At 61.7% G+C, this 13,666-nt stretch overlaps 1 protein-coding gene and 1 long non-coding RNA gene across 21 annotated transcripts in view, besides 1 other annotated feature; one reads left to right on the forward strand and one right to left on the reverse strand.

Moving 5' to 3' along the window:
- CCDC187 (coiled-coil domain containing 187) overlaps positions 1 to 13,666 on the reverse strand; it is a 56,929-nt gene that overhangs the window by 30,803 nt on the left and 12,460 nt on the right. For 18 of the 20 annotated variants that reach the window (XR_007061299.1, XR_007061300.1, XR_929795.3 and 15 more), the window contains exons 5-10: positions 11,386 to 11,520; positions 9,711 to 10,870; positions 9,184 to 9,278; positions 5,310 to 5,920; positions 4,738 to 4,831; positions 776 to 888 (exon numbers count right to left, since the gene is read on the reverse strand). Coding sequence is in view for 16 of the 20 variants with exons in the window: in XM_047423386.1 (XP_047279342.1) it covers positions 776 to 888; positions 4,738 to 4,831; positions 5,310 to 5,920; positions 9,184 to 9,278; positions 9,711 to 10,870; positions 11,386 to 11,520 (2,208 nt within the window). In the remaining 4 variants the exon portion in view is untranslated. Of the gene's footprint in view, positions 1 to 166; positions 889 to 4,737; positions 4,929 to 5,309; positions 5,921 to 9,183; positions 9,279 to 9,710; positions 10,871 to 11,385; positions 11,521 to 13,666 lie in introns of those variants that run through there. The other 2 variants (NR_111982.1, NM_001291516.1) reach the window with 2 other exon arrangements.
- Positions 2,468 to 6,545, forward strand: LOC124902308 (uncharacterized). The gene is made up of 2 exons (XR_007061862.1): positions 2,468 to 2,631; positions 6,049 to 6,545. It is a non-coding gene; the product is annotated as an uncharacterized LOC124902308 (long non-coding RNA).
- Positions 3,006 to 3,065: a silencer, noted in NCBI's record as "silent region_20506". NCBI's record gives its function as "represses an Ori minimal core promoter by ATAC-STARR-seq in GM12878 lymphoblastoid cells {active_cell/tissue: GM12878}" and the evidence as "EXISTENCE:reporter gene assay evidence [ECO:0000049][PMID:35858748]".

Here is a 13,666-nt window from a genome sequence, read left to right on the forward strand (position 1 = left end):
CCAGGCCTTCCTCAGGCCTCCCCGCTGCCAGCCAAGGAGGGTGCAGGTTGTATCTGGGGCTGCTCTGGGGTGGTGGTCCAGGGTTAGGGGTTGGATGGGGGCCCCCATTCACTCAGAATGCACCCTCCCACCATCTCTCCCCCAGCCAGACATGAATGTGTTTTACTCCAATGCTCAAAACCTGTTCTTTTGAAGAAAATCAACAGACAATGATGAAGCGGCAAACGGGGGTCCCCCACTTCTGAGTCCACACTCAGTTCCCATGGCTGCACCAGCCCCTCCAGCTGCCCTGCCAAGCCCCCCAGCCAGGAGGGTCCTACAGCGCAGCCCACGCCAGCACGAGGCCCTCAAGCCCAGGGCTTCAGCAGCTGCTGGGTCCCTTGGGCACCAGGCAGTGGGCACTGCTCGTTGGAAACCCCGGATGAAAACACTCAGTAGCAGAAGAAAAAGTCGAATCCGAGCTGATGGGACTGTAAGGAAGCGCCCTAGGAGGTGGGCTGGGCACAGCGGCACGGGGCATGGCTGTCATGAAATAAGCACGTGGGTCTCATCCACCGAGGGCCCATCACTGCAGGTGTGGTGAGCACAGAGCACGCAGAGGGTCCCGAAAGCCTCTAAAACCTTTAATAACGAGGCGTGGATGCTCTCCACGTGGAAAAGGATTTCTCTACCCCGTAGGGCCAAGCTCGAGTGCTAGGCAGTGGAAGGTGTTCTCGGTGGATGCCCCGGCCACCCGACCAGCCAGCCCAGGGCCTGTCCGCAGGGTCGCCCTTACCGCAGCTCCGGGGGGTGCAGGGCGCCACAGAATCTGCCCCTCCGACCGACGGCGTCTCCTCCAGTCCCAGGGAGCCCCAGATAGGGTGCAGCGTGGCTGGGCCCGCATATGAGCTGGAAGACACAGGCACACGTGTGGCAGGGCCAGGCCCGTGGAGGAGACAGGAGGCAGGGAGATCCGGGGGACAGCCCCTCATTGAGCAGGAACCTGGGCTCCCGTGGCCTGGAGCAGCTCTCAGACCCCCAACAGTGTGCCCAGGGTGGGACCCAAGGGCCAAAAGCCTGGCGGGGGAAGGGCCTGAGGCCTGGGAGCCAGGAGGCAGGGGTGAGCGGGAGGCAGGGGTGAGTGGGTGGGGCCTGAGCATGCGTCCCAGCGTGGTGGCGTGGGCTGAGGTGAAGCCACCAGCCCACATCTGGGAAGCGTTGGCGCCAAGCCTGGCTGCTCGGAGCTCTGCACTCGGACCCCAGGGGGAACAGGGGTGTGCACGGTCAGCTTCCGTGGCCACCGTTGGTCCCCAGGGCCAAGATCAGAGTCTTCCCAGCCAGCGTGGTCATCGGGACCATCTCTACCATCTACTAAGGGCACTGCCCACCAGGCCCAGAGCGGAACGGGGTCACGCATCAGCTGTGACCCTCACCCCACTGCTCAAGGCTGGCACTGGAGACTGCAGGGCAACCTATCTGGGGAGCACCCGGGCTGTGACCATGGAGGCAGGTACAACTGGACCCACACACCTGCCCCCACTCAAGCTGGCCAGCACGCAAGGCTGACAGAGCCAGGAGCCAGGTGTGGCCACTGACCTTTCTCCCAGAGGTGGCCAAGTGGTGAGGGAGAGCTACCAGGCACGGGGAGGCAGTGCTACTGGGATGAGGGGTCTTTGGGGTGCACAGAGAGACGGGTTTGTGGGCGGAGCATGTGCTGAGCCTGCATCCGGGGCATGTGGGCGGGGCATGTGCTGAGCCTGCATCTGTGAGCACGGCTCACCTCACTTCGCATTTCTTATCAGGGCCCCCATCTGTGCTTCCTGGTACACAGTGACCCAGAACCCACTGGAGTGGCTGAAGATGCTGCCCACACCTGTGGCCCAGGGGTTGTTAGGCAGGGGGTAGACACGCCCTCCCTCAGCAGCCCGCAGGGCCCACAGGTGTTTGTCTCACACCTGCTGTGGGCAGGAGCTGTGCAGGGTCTGGTCATGGTGGTGACCCACCTCCCAACCCCCGCCCGCATTCCTGGTGCTGCAGGGGAGCTGGACGTGTGCCCAGGCCGTGAGGGGCTGCATGGCACCTGGGAGCACAGGCCTGGAGAAGTGTTCTGGAACCCGGGCTGGGTGGCTAGAAGCCCCAGTGCCTCCACCACTGAGTGCTGGGCTCCCATGGGACAGAGGGGACAGACTCACCCCAACTCAGAAATCAGTCTGAGGCCGGGCACAGTGGCTCACGCCTGTAATCCCAGCACTTTGGGAGGCTGAGGTGGGCAGATCACAAGGTCAGGAGTTCGAGACCAGCCTGGCCAATATGGTGAAACCCCGTCTCTACTAAAAATACAAAAATTAGCTGGGCGTGGTGGCGGGTGCCTGTAATCCCAGCTGCTGGGGAGGCTGAGGCGGGAGAATCGCTTGAACTTGGGAGGCGGAGGTTGCAGCAAGCTGAGATCAAGCCATTGCACTCCAGCCTCGGCGACAGAGCAAGACTCCATCTCAAAAATAAAAACAAAACAAAACAAAAAAGAAACCAGTCTGAGAGGCGGCCGGGATCTGGGGCACCCGAGAGGCTCAGCGTGGGAAACGCACCAGATGGCAGCAGGTGGAACCAGCAGAGGCTGTGTGCGCCAGCCCTGAAGCTCCAGCCCCTCAAGTGGTGAGTGGCAACGGACAGGCCAGGCCCCTTTCCTGGCTGCCCGAGCAGCGGCGGAAGCCTTGGCAGGGCCCAGCGAGCCTCTGAGCCTCTCCCTAATCCCTGCTCTCCACCAGCCCGGGTCCCTCCGGGCCACGGTTCATGAATATGATTCCGCCTCCTGCTGTCTCTCTGCCGCCTCGGCAGGGCTGTGGGGGTGGAGGGCACAGTCCAGTGCCCAGCCCTGATGGGAATGTCTGGGTGCCATTGCCACAGGGAGCCCTGGCCGCACCTCTGCCCCTCTGGCTGCACCCAGGCTGTGCCAGGAACGCTGAGACCTCAGCCTGGGTCTGGCCCTGGGGACAGATCTAGCTGGTCCCCCGGGAGCCCGGGGCACTGAAATTAACCTTTTCAAAAATTCTCACTGCCTCCGCCTCTGCCTCCCACCCCTTCTCAAGGGCTGGGCAGAAGTCGTCCTGGGCATTGCAGGCGACAGAGGCGAGGTCTGGCCCGATGCTGCCCTCTTCTGGTCACAATGGCTCAGTTCCATGGGCCGGACTGGGCCTGGGCAGCAGGTGGGGTTGGGAGTGAGATGGGGCACAACCCAAAGGCCCTGGCGCAGGCACCAAGCCCGCCATCCCCTGAGGGCAAAGGGGGCTTCAGGAGAGGAAGCTGGTGGGGTTTCCTAGGAAGGATGGGCAGGGGAGACCTCGGGCCAGGAAATGTCCCAGCAGGAGGAGAGGGGAGGGGAGGGGCAGGGAAAGGAGGGAAGGCTGGGCTTCGGGAGAGGGCGCCTCCTTCCCCCACATGTGGACTCTGGGCAACAGCCCCTCTGCTGCAGTGCCCACTGCCACCCTAGGGCTACACGTGGTGTCTGCCCTCATGCCCTCGGCCACCCAGCAGAAGACAGCTTGGTGGAGGTGGGTGGCATGACCCAGGCCCTGATGTCTGGGGAGCCCACGTCTAGGTGTCCCTGGTGGACCTGGCCACGCATTGAGGGTGCACAGAGCTTTCCCGAGAGACCGCCGCCGGCCTGGCCTCCTGCTTGCCCCGCCCGTGGTGCTGAGTTTTCGAGCCCGGGTTCCGGGGCTGCCTGGGAAGCAGCTGCTCAGGTCAGGCCGGGGTCCCTCATCCAGGGTGCTTCCGTCAAGGACAGAGGGGTGAGAGTGGCCGGGAGTGGCCCAAGAACGCCTGGCAGTATGCGGTGTGCAGGGAGCCGCGGGGACCAGGAGGGCACTGCTGGCCAGGAGGCCCTGGACAGGGATCCCGGCCCACACCAGCAAGAGCGAGAGGCCGGCTGGGCAGGTGGTGGGCTCGGAGGAAGATTTTTGGTGGGGGGCAGGTGTGGAGGGGGTTTTTTCAGGAGAGGAGATCCAAACGTGTTCACAAATCCCCAGGAGGGACTCAAGGCCACAGCTGCTGCTGAGGCTTAGGTGCTCGGGAGGGAGCGGCCGCCTCGTGCACTGCAACCTCTGTCACGAGCATCTAACTCAGTTTCCACCTGCAAAGCCCCCATGGACCAAGCCTGCTGGGCTCCGCTTCAGCCTGGGGCTCACTGGGGCTGCAGGCGCTGGGGTAGGGCAGATGCTCCCCCAGGGGGAGGGAGTTGGGCTGAGAGGGGCCTGGGGGCGCGGGACAGGCACAGTGTCCCCGGGAAGGGGCTTCAGATGTACCTGTGTGACATGGCCCCAGAGGAGGCTGCAGCCCGTGCTGGGGATGGGAGCCAGGTGTGTGAGGCTCCATGGACAGGCAGCCCTGAGAGCTCAGGTGGGGTCGCCGGGCCCGGATGGCAAGGACCACCCGAGTCACTGTCCCTGCACTCAGTCTGGAGCAGCAGGCAAGAGGGAGCTGCACCAGTGGCGTCCCCGAGGCCCGCAGCCAGTTCAGGGGGCATTCGTGGGGGGAGTGTCTGACGCGGGGCTTCCCTGCCCCGGCCAGCGTCCGAGCCAGCACCACCTGCTCCGGGTCCCTGGCCGCAGCCTCTGGACCAGCATGACGGGGACACATGGGGGTGAAGTGAGAGGCAGCCCGTGAGCGTGGGCGGGCAGGTGGGCAGGTGGGCAGGTGGGCAGGTGGGCAGGCGGGCAGGTGGGCAGGTGGGCAGGTGGGCAGGTGGGCAGGTGGTCTTACCTCCCCGCAGAGGGGCTGAGGGCCTGGAAGGGGGCCACGCCTCTCTGCAGCCTTTTGTCTGGTTTCACGTCCACGTGTCCCTCCTCTGGAAAACCTTGGAGAAGAGGGCACCTGGCTTCACTCCCTGGTCAGCCGGGAGCACGGGACGGGGGACCCAAGCCATCACAGCAGGAGAGGAGCCTGAGACACACCTGACAGGGGTGGGGGTGTGGCAGCCTCCCTGGCCCTCAGGCCTCTCTGCTGGAGGAAGGGCAGGGAGGCAGCAGGGAAGGAGCCACTGGAGCGGCCTCACCCTTCTGGCCAGAGAACAAGACAGGAGCAATAGCTGCTGCGGGTGCCATGTGCCACACAGGAGAGCTCACACATCCCACAAGGATGAGCCCACACACACCACATGCCACGTGGGAAAGCCCACGTACACTATGCTGCTCAGACCCCCTGGACTGTTGTCCTCCTAGCCCCCTTTCCAGAAAGGAAACCAAGGCTCAGAGAGAAAATGGGGTCCCCATTCCTCCCAGCCCACAGGACCCCCTGGCCACCCAGCGGTCACCGTGTCCCGGGTGCCGGCCTACCTCGGGGCTTGCTCTCGCAGTGGGCCCTCGGGCTCACACTCTGCTGTTGCTCCCAGCTGGGGCCCCACGACAGTGTCTCGCCGTCCAGGAAGTAGGTCGGGGGCAGAAGGGGCTGGGGCTGCATGCTCACCCACTCCCCAGGTGCCCCTCTGCCCCAGTTGGGCCCCAAGGCTCCAGGGCAGGCTGGGGTGGCAAGCGTGGGGGTGGCGAGCGTGGGGGCGGCAGGTAGGCTGTGGGGGCACGAGCGCAGCAGGCCCACAGCTGGGTCCCTGACGGTGTCCAGCGCTTCGGCACCCTGCAGCTTGGCGGTGAGGCTATCGACCCGCTGCTTGAGGACTTTGGCTGTGGTCTCTAGCGCCTGCAGCTGCGCCTGCTTATGCCGGAGGTGCAGGGAGCTGGAAGTGCCCAGGTGCTCAGCCTCCTTTGGGTCCAGGTAGATGCACATCCCCCGGGGTAGGTAGCGGGTGGTCAGGTCCTGGAGCTCCAGGGATCCCAGAGAGGGTGAAGCTGACAGCAGCACGGGGGCATCCCGGCCATCTTGGGGGCCCCCCATCCCTGGGGGATCTAGGGTCTCAGCATGGTTCCAGGCTCTGTTCAAACACAGGCAGAAGCTGCAGGAAGAGAGACGTGGACAGATCAGCTCAGGCTCGGTCGCCCCAGCAGGGCACGGAAAGCACGCGTGTTTTGCAGGTGTGAGCGTCACAGCAGCGTCTGTGACGGACCCAGTGTCTGTCCGCAGGGACCAGGGAAGCGGTGACGGTATCCACACAACAGACCACACAGCTGCCGCAAAGAACAGGGCCAGGCGTGAGCGAGGGGGCAGAGGAACTGGATCCCGGGCACTGCCGGTGGGGTGTAAAACCGTCCTGCTGTGGCCAGAGGCAGTTTGGTCAAACATAGAACAACCACGGGTCTGGCAAGTCTGCCTCTGGCCACGCACCCAGAAGAGCTGAAGTCAGAGTCTCAAAGACATCACCCATGTTCACAGCAGCCTTATTCACAACAGCCAAAAGGTGGAAACCACCCAGTGTCCATCGAGGGACGAACGGAGAAGCAAAATGAGGTCCACCGACACGGCGGAATAGTATTCAGCCCTGAAATGGAAGGACATTCCGACGCAGGCTACAACATCACCCTTGGTAGAATAAGTCAGCCAGCCACAAAATGAAACTGGCCCGATGGTCCCCTGGAACTCACGTTCATGGTTTCTTTTGAATAAACATAGAAATGAGCCTGGCCGGTCTTAACATGTGAGAAAGTTTCATTTGTCTTACCTGAGTTCCTTTCTCAGGAAACCTACCATCAGGCCTCCCACATAGAATCAAGGAGCTGAAACGCACCAGATCACCGCAACTGGACAATGAGACGCCAGAGTCCTCGTTCATCACGCTTGCTTCCTTACCCTTCCCTAGTTCCCGTTTCCTGCACGGAGCTGCATTCCTTCCCTGATACGCAAGACCCCAACTTTAGTCAGTCAGGGAGTTGGATTTGAGACTGAGCCCCCACCTCCTCGGCTGCGGCACCCAATTAAAGCCTCTTCCCTGGCAATACTCATTGTCTCCGCGATTGGCCTTCTGTGTGGCAAGCAGCAAGACTGAGACCAAACCCCTGGTGTTTCAGTAACAAAAAGGACAAGCATGGCGTGTTCCTGCTCACGTGAGGGTCCTGGGACAGGCAAATCCATAGAGACAGGAAGTAGAATGGTGGCTGCCAAGGGCTGGGGAGGAGATGGAGAGTTAGTGTTTCATGGGGACAGAGTGTCAGTTTGGGAAGATGAAGAGTTCTGGAGAAAATAGAGATAGGGTCTCACTATGTTGTCCAGGCCGGTCTCAAACTCCTGGCCTCAAGCAATCCTCCCACCTCAGCCTCCCAAAGTGCTGGGATTACAGGTGGGAGCCACCATGCCCAGCTATAATTTTTTAGGTGGGGAAAAAAAAGGACAAGGACATGATGAAGTGAGATGAGGCCCTGCAGCTGCCCGAGACGACGAGTCCCAGCTACTCGGGAGGCTGTCAAGCAAACGGAGCCCGACGGTGGCCAGTGGGGGAGGGGCTGCCCTTGGGAAGGGGGTGGCATGGCGGGGCCAGCATGGGATGCTCACCCAGCGGCATACTCAGGACCTGCGTCCTTGTCTTACTGGACATTGACAGATGCAGCCCCTGGGCTGCCCTGTGACCCAGACTCCCGGGAAAGAATCCCAAAACGAGTGCCTTCAAGACAAAATGGAGCCAAAAGGAGCCAGAGGGAGGGGTCGGGTCCTGCAGAGAGGGGTGGGAGCTGAGCTCCCAGGGGCCAGCCTGAAGCCCCCAATACCAGCTGCCAAAGATACGCCAGGGGCAGCCCTGAGGGAGTCCAGGGTGGGACGCTCTGGTGGGTGGGAGCCCCTCCCTGGCCTCTGAGCCAGCTCCCCCTGCCCGCTGGAACCCAGGGCATGCAGGAGGCCTGGCCGTGAGCTCCTCACAGGTGCCTAGCGTGAGGCCAGGCCAGAGAGTGTTTGCCACTGGCCTGAAGCTGGGGCCTTCCACAGCCCTTCCTGGGCGAGAGCCAGGCTGGAAACTGTAGTGAGACCCAGGCGCAACTCCCCCAAGCAAAGTTGGGGGAGGTCTTCAGACCCCATGTGTGTGATTCACGATGCCCCAGGGGGAGGGGCCTCCAGAAATTAAAATACACAGTAGTCAAAGCAAAACAGAAACACAGAAAAGAACCTAAAAGTAAGCGCTGTGAGGAAGTGGGGAGATGGGGACCCTCACGCCGGCCGGGGGATGGGAACCAGGGCGGCTGCTGTGGAGAACAGGGTGCAAGTTCCCGAGAAAGCTGCACACAGAGGTGCACGTGCCCATGCAATTCACTCTCAGGTGTGCACCCAAGAGAAACAGCTCAAGGGCCAAAGCAGGTGCAAGCACCCATTCACGGCAGCGGCAGGTGGAGCCCGGGCATCCGTTGGCCACGAGGTTGTGAAGAAAAGGTCACCTGCCCACAGCCGGGCATTATTCAGCCACAGACTCAATGAAGTTCTGACTCAAGCTGCAACATGAATGAGCCTGGAAAACGTTATCTTGAATGAGCCTGGAAAACGTTATCCTCGGTGAGAGAAGCCAGACCCGTACTTGGTGATCCCATTTAGATAAAATGTCAAGAATAGGCAAATCCGGGCGGGGCGCGGTGACTCACTCCTATAATCCCAGCACTTTGGGAGGCCAAAGCAGGTGGATCACCTGAGGTTGGGAGTTCGAGACTAGCCTGGCCAATGTGGTGAAGCCCCGTCTCTACTAAAAATACAAAAAATTAGCCGGGCGTTGTGGCAGGTGCCTATAATCCCAGCTACTCAGGAGGCTGAGGCAGGAGAATCACTTGAACCTGGGAGGTGGAGGTTGCGGTGAGCCAAGATCGTGCCATTGCGCTCCAGCCTGGGCAACAGAGCAAAACTCCATCTCAAAAAAAAAAAAAAAAAAAAAAAAGAATAGGCAAATCCGTCGAGGCAGAAAGGAGACCCCCATGGCTCCCCCACAAGGGCTGCAGGAGGGGCTGCCTCCTGAGGGTGGGGGCTCATGGGGAGATGGAATGTTCCGGAACTCAGTAGAAGTGGTGGTTGCACAGCACACGGGGAAGGTGCTCAATGCCACGGAACGTGCACTTTAACGTGGTGGATTTAAGTTTGATGCGACTCTTGCCTCCATGAGAACAAGCACAGTGGTGACCGCCTCCTCCAAGCAGGCAGGTGGCACTGTGGGCGGGCAGGGCAGAGCCTGCCCCACCTGAGGAGCCTCTCGGTCATGAGGCAATGTCACGAGGGCCCCAGAACGCACCCAGAACTGTTCTTGGCCCCCCCCAAGGCCCCGCCCGGCATGTGCAGCACCCACACTTTCACACCCACCTGCCTGGGGCTTCCTGGCCCCCCAGCACCATGCCAGAGGTCACTTTGCTCCATTCCAGCACTGGGGACTCCAGGCTCCCGGAGGCTTCCAGGCCCTAAAGTAGAGGGCAATGCCATCAGAGCCCCCCGCTCGGGAAGACCACACGCCCCGTTCTCTCAGCCTCAGAGCTAGGCCTTGACCTCCCTTGGGGGTCTCAGGCTGCTTCCCCAGAGTCTTGCAGGAATCGGGGTCCCACTTCAGGGGCTGTGAGAGGCAAGGGGGTCCCTCCGGAGCCCCGTTGCACCCAGGGGCAAAGGCGCCCAGGTCTGACCCTGCACCTCACCAGGGCCTCCCCCAGGGAGGCATCCACAGAAGCTCTGGCTTTCTACAGGCAGTGGCAGCGACGCCACGAAGTCCCCAGCCCCCAGCTGCAGCCCTCGCCCGGCCACTCCCTGGAGGACACCAGGGGGCTGGAGGCAGCACCTGAGCGCCTAAGCCTCTGGCCCATGGCTGAGCCGAGTCCCCCCAACCCAACCCCAGCATGTACCCCGGACTGTGCAGAACTGGGGACAAAGGTCACGATGCCAGGGGTGGTCCGGGAGACCACGGGGACCGCCCTGCCGAGGACGGCCTCCCTCTGCTGCCGGTAGACCTCCTGCAGCCTCCGGCTCCTCAGCTCCCGTGTGCGCAGGGCCGAGGCCTTCTCCTCCAGGGCCTGCCGCCGCCGGGCCTGCGCCTTCTGGCGCATGAACTCCCGCAAGGACTCAGAGCTGTGCGAGGGTCCCAGGAGCCCCCGGGACCTGGGGCAGGGCCGCAGCGTGTCCTTCTCCTTCCCAAGTGGGTTCTGAGGGAAGCTCCCGGTGGGCCTTGGCAGGGCATGCTTGGCAGCCGAGACGGGGGAGCCGATGCCTCTGCCCTTGCCCTGGGGGCCGGCCCTCTGCACGCCGGAGCTGCTCCAGGGCCGCTGGGCTGGAGGACTGGGCCTTTCCAGAGGGTTCCGCAGTCTGGGGCCAGGGTCCTCCCAGGTTTCACAGGCAGTCCAGGCCCTCCGTGGACAGGGCTGTGTGGCTACAGCACTCCAGGGCTGCTGGGGGAAGGGGCTCCGCTTTTCAGGGGGGCTCCCAGGCCTCTGGGAGGAGGGGCCCTGTCTTTGGGCCCCCCAGGCCCTCTGCGGACTGCAGGCCTGCCCAGCCAGTGCACTCCAGGGCCTCTGGGAGAAGTGGCCCAACCTCTCATGGGGACTCTCCGGCCTCTGGAAGGAGCGGTCCTGTCCTTGGGCCCCCCAGGCCCTCTGCGGACAGGACTCCCGTGCAGTGGAGGAGCTCCAGGGCTCCCAGGTGTGGACACTCCTAGCCCTCTCTAAAGAGGAATGCTTCCTCTCTGTCATGGCCCAGGGACTCTTAGAGAAGGAGCTCTGGGCATTGGGGTCCCTGCAGCAGCCCCTCCCTGCCACGTCCTGCAGCCTCCGCTTTGATGGCCCGAGCTCTTGCCCTCCCTTGCGGGCCTGGGCCAGCTCCAGCCCAGCCTGGATTTGCTGGCGCAGGTCTTGTAGGATGGCCATGGCCGTCTGTATGGTCGCTGGCTGGTCGAAGGAAGCCAGGCTGGGTGTGTTCCCAGACACCTGCTGGTCACTGTAGGCGGAGGTGGCATCGGGCAACTGGGCACAAACCGGTGAGCACTTGGCAGCTATGACTTTCTCGCTGTCTCCTGCAAAGACAGGAGTGTCAGGGGTGAGGAGGGGAGCGGAGGGGAGAGCAAAGCCAGCTCCTCCATCCGGGCTGGAGGCAAGGAGTGTGGGGGCGGTGAGGAGGCCCTCGGGCCCCTGCTGGGCAGAAGCCCTCTGAGGGTGGGCACCACGCCTGTGTGATGAGCCACCGCTCTGCACACAGTAGCCAAGCACAGGTGTGCCTGTGTCTGGGGAGCCCCTGCCGGCTCCCATCCTGCCTTCCTGCCAGGAGAGAGCCTCGGCAGCATGCCTGCCCCGGGAACTGGCGATGGAGCCTCCCAGGGCCAGAAACCCTTTTCTCAGGCTTTGAAAACACTTATTGCCCAAAGTCCCCAGTTGAATGGGTGGCAGGTTTGGAGGGTGTTTGCAGGCTGCTGTGAGAGGCGCCAACACCTCTTCCTTCCAGGCGGCCTGGAGCCTGGGTGTCTCCTTCTCTGTGCCCGCCCCCAGATGCCACAGCAGAGCAGGACAGAGCCCATGGCAGAGGCACAGGTACCTAAGTCCACGGTGAGAGCCGGGTCTCTCGAGGGATCCTTGCTATGGTGCCTGCGGAGGACGGGAGGGGGCCCAAGCAGCGACCTCACCAGAGCTTGTCCCTTTCTCCAGGCGTAAACACCAACCAGCTCCGAATCTTAAACAGAGAAAACATACACACAGCCGGGCGCCCCATGGCCCTCTGGGCACTGGCCCGGACGGGGAGGTTGGTGGCTCTGCAAGCGCCAGGAGGCCACTTCAACACTCCCAGAAGGCACCGGGAGGATATCCCTCATGTCCAGGCCCCTGTTGGGCAGAGCGGGACCCTCAGCCTGCACAGGGCAAGGCTGAGTCTCAGGGCGGCCATGGGCAGGTGGCTTCCCTGACCCTCAGAGTCCTCCTCCTCCCTGACCCTCAGAGTCCTCTTCAGGAAATCGTGGACAACAGGACCTGCCCCACAGCTCTGCCGGTGAAGCTCTCAGCACAGGCCGGGCACGCAGCACATGTGAAAGAAACGCCGAGCAGCAGCAGCAGCTGGAGTGACAACCGCGAGCCAGCAGCCCCACCCTCCGCTCCGTGCTGCACATCGGGCTCCGCGCAGCACGGGAGGTCCTGTCACCGCTGGCCACGTGTGCCGAGCCACAGGAGATTAACCTGCTTTTAAGCCAGCAGAGCCAGCAGTCACACGGGTGGGCAGCGGTGAAGGCTCCCCGGCTGGCAGGGCAGGGAGTCCCGGGCATCGCTGCAGCAAACGGCCCCACGTCCCGAGTACAAACGAGCCTTCGCACGCAAATGGCATCATGCAGTGAGTGGCGCTCATCCAGGTGGCACTTCACAGCCCAGCTCACGGCCACCGATGCCAACACCAGCCCCACCAGCCCCGTGGGCCCAGCTGCGAGGGCCCTGGCAAAGGCCGGAGGTAGGGCCAGCCCTGGGCTCACATGCTCACACACTCACAAACACTCACATTGCTCACACACTCACAAACACTCACATGCTCACACACTCACAAACACATGCTCACACACTCACATGCTCACACACACTCACATGCTCACACACTCACAAACACATGCTCACACACTCACACTCACACGCTCACACTCACATGCTTACACACTCACTCATGCTTTCACACTAACATGCTCACACACTCACAAACACATGTTCACACACTCACACTCACATGCTTACACACTCACACTCACATGCTCACACACATTCACATGCTCACACACTCACACTCACATGCTCACACACTCACAAACACTCACATGCTCACATACTCTCACATGCTCACACACTCACACATGCTCACACTCACACTCACATGCTCACACACTCACAAACACATGCTCACACACTCACAAACACACATGCTCACATACACGCTTACACACTCACACTGACATGCTCACACACTGTCACACACGTGCCCACAACTCCCTCACGTGCTCCCAGGCTCACACATATGCACGCCAATGCTGACAGGCACTCGCATGCTCACACTCATGCTCACACTCTGTCACACGCATGCCCTCGCACGTGCTGTCACACATGCTCAGTCACATGCTTTCACATGCTCACTCATGCATTCACACATGCACACACACTTGTACACACTGACATGCTCACACACGGTCTCATCCTCACACACTTTCACACAGACACACATGCTCTCACACTCACACTACCACACACTCGTTCTCACACACATTCAGTCTCATATGCTCTCTGACTCACACGCTCACACACAACCACACACACTCATACACTCATATACACACTCCCTCGTGCTCTCCCACACACACATGCTCATATACACATGCCCTCACATGCTCTCACACACACACTCACACTCATATACACACGCCCTCACATGCTCTCACACACACACTCATATACACACGCCCTCACATGTGCTCTCACACACTCACACGCTCATATACACACGCCCTCAAGTGCTCACACTCACACACTCTCACACTCATACACACGCCCTCACATGCTCTCACACACACATTCACTCACACGCTCATATACACACGCCCTCACATGTGCTCTCACACACACTCACACGCTCATATACACACGCCCTCACGTGGTCTCACACTCTCACGCGCTCATATACACACGCCCTCACATGTGCTCTCACTCTCACACGCTCATATACACATGCCCTCACGTGCTCTCACACACACATTCACTCACACACACTGCTTATTCCACCTGGCTCTGCAGGGCCAACACCACACATGCCAAGGGTCCCTGGCCCCTATGCCCCTTCCTTAGGCCCAGCCCAG

The sequence above is a fragment of the Homo sapiens genome, chromosome 9 (genome assembly GCF_000001405.40).
Source record: "Homo sapiens chromosome 9, GRCh38.p14 Primary Assembly".
Classification (NCBI taxonomy): Eukaryota; Metazoa; Chordata; class Mammalia; order Primates; family Hominidae; genus Homo; species Homo sapiens.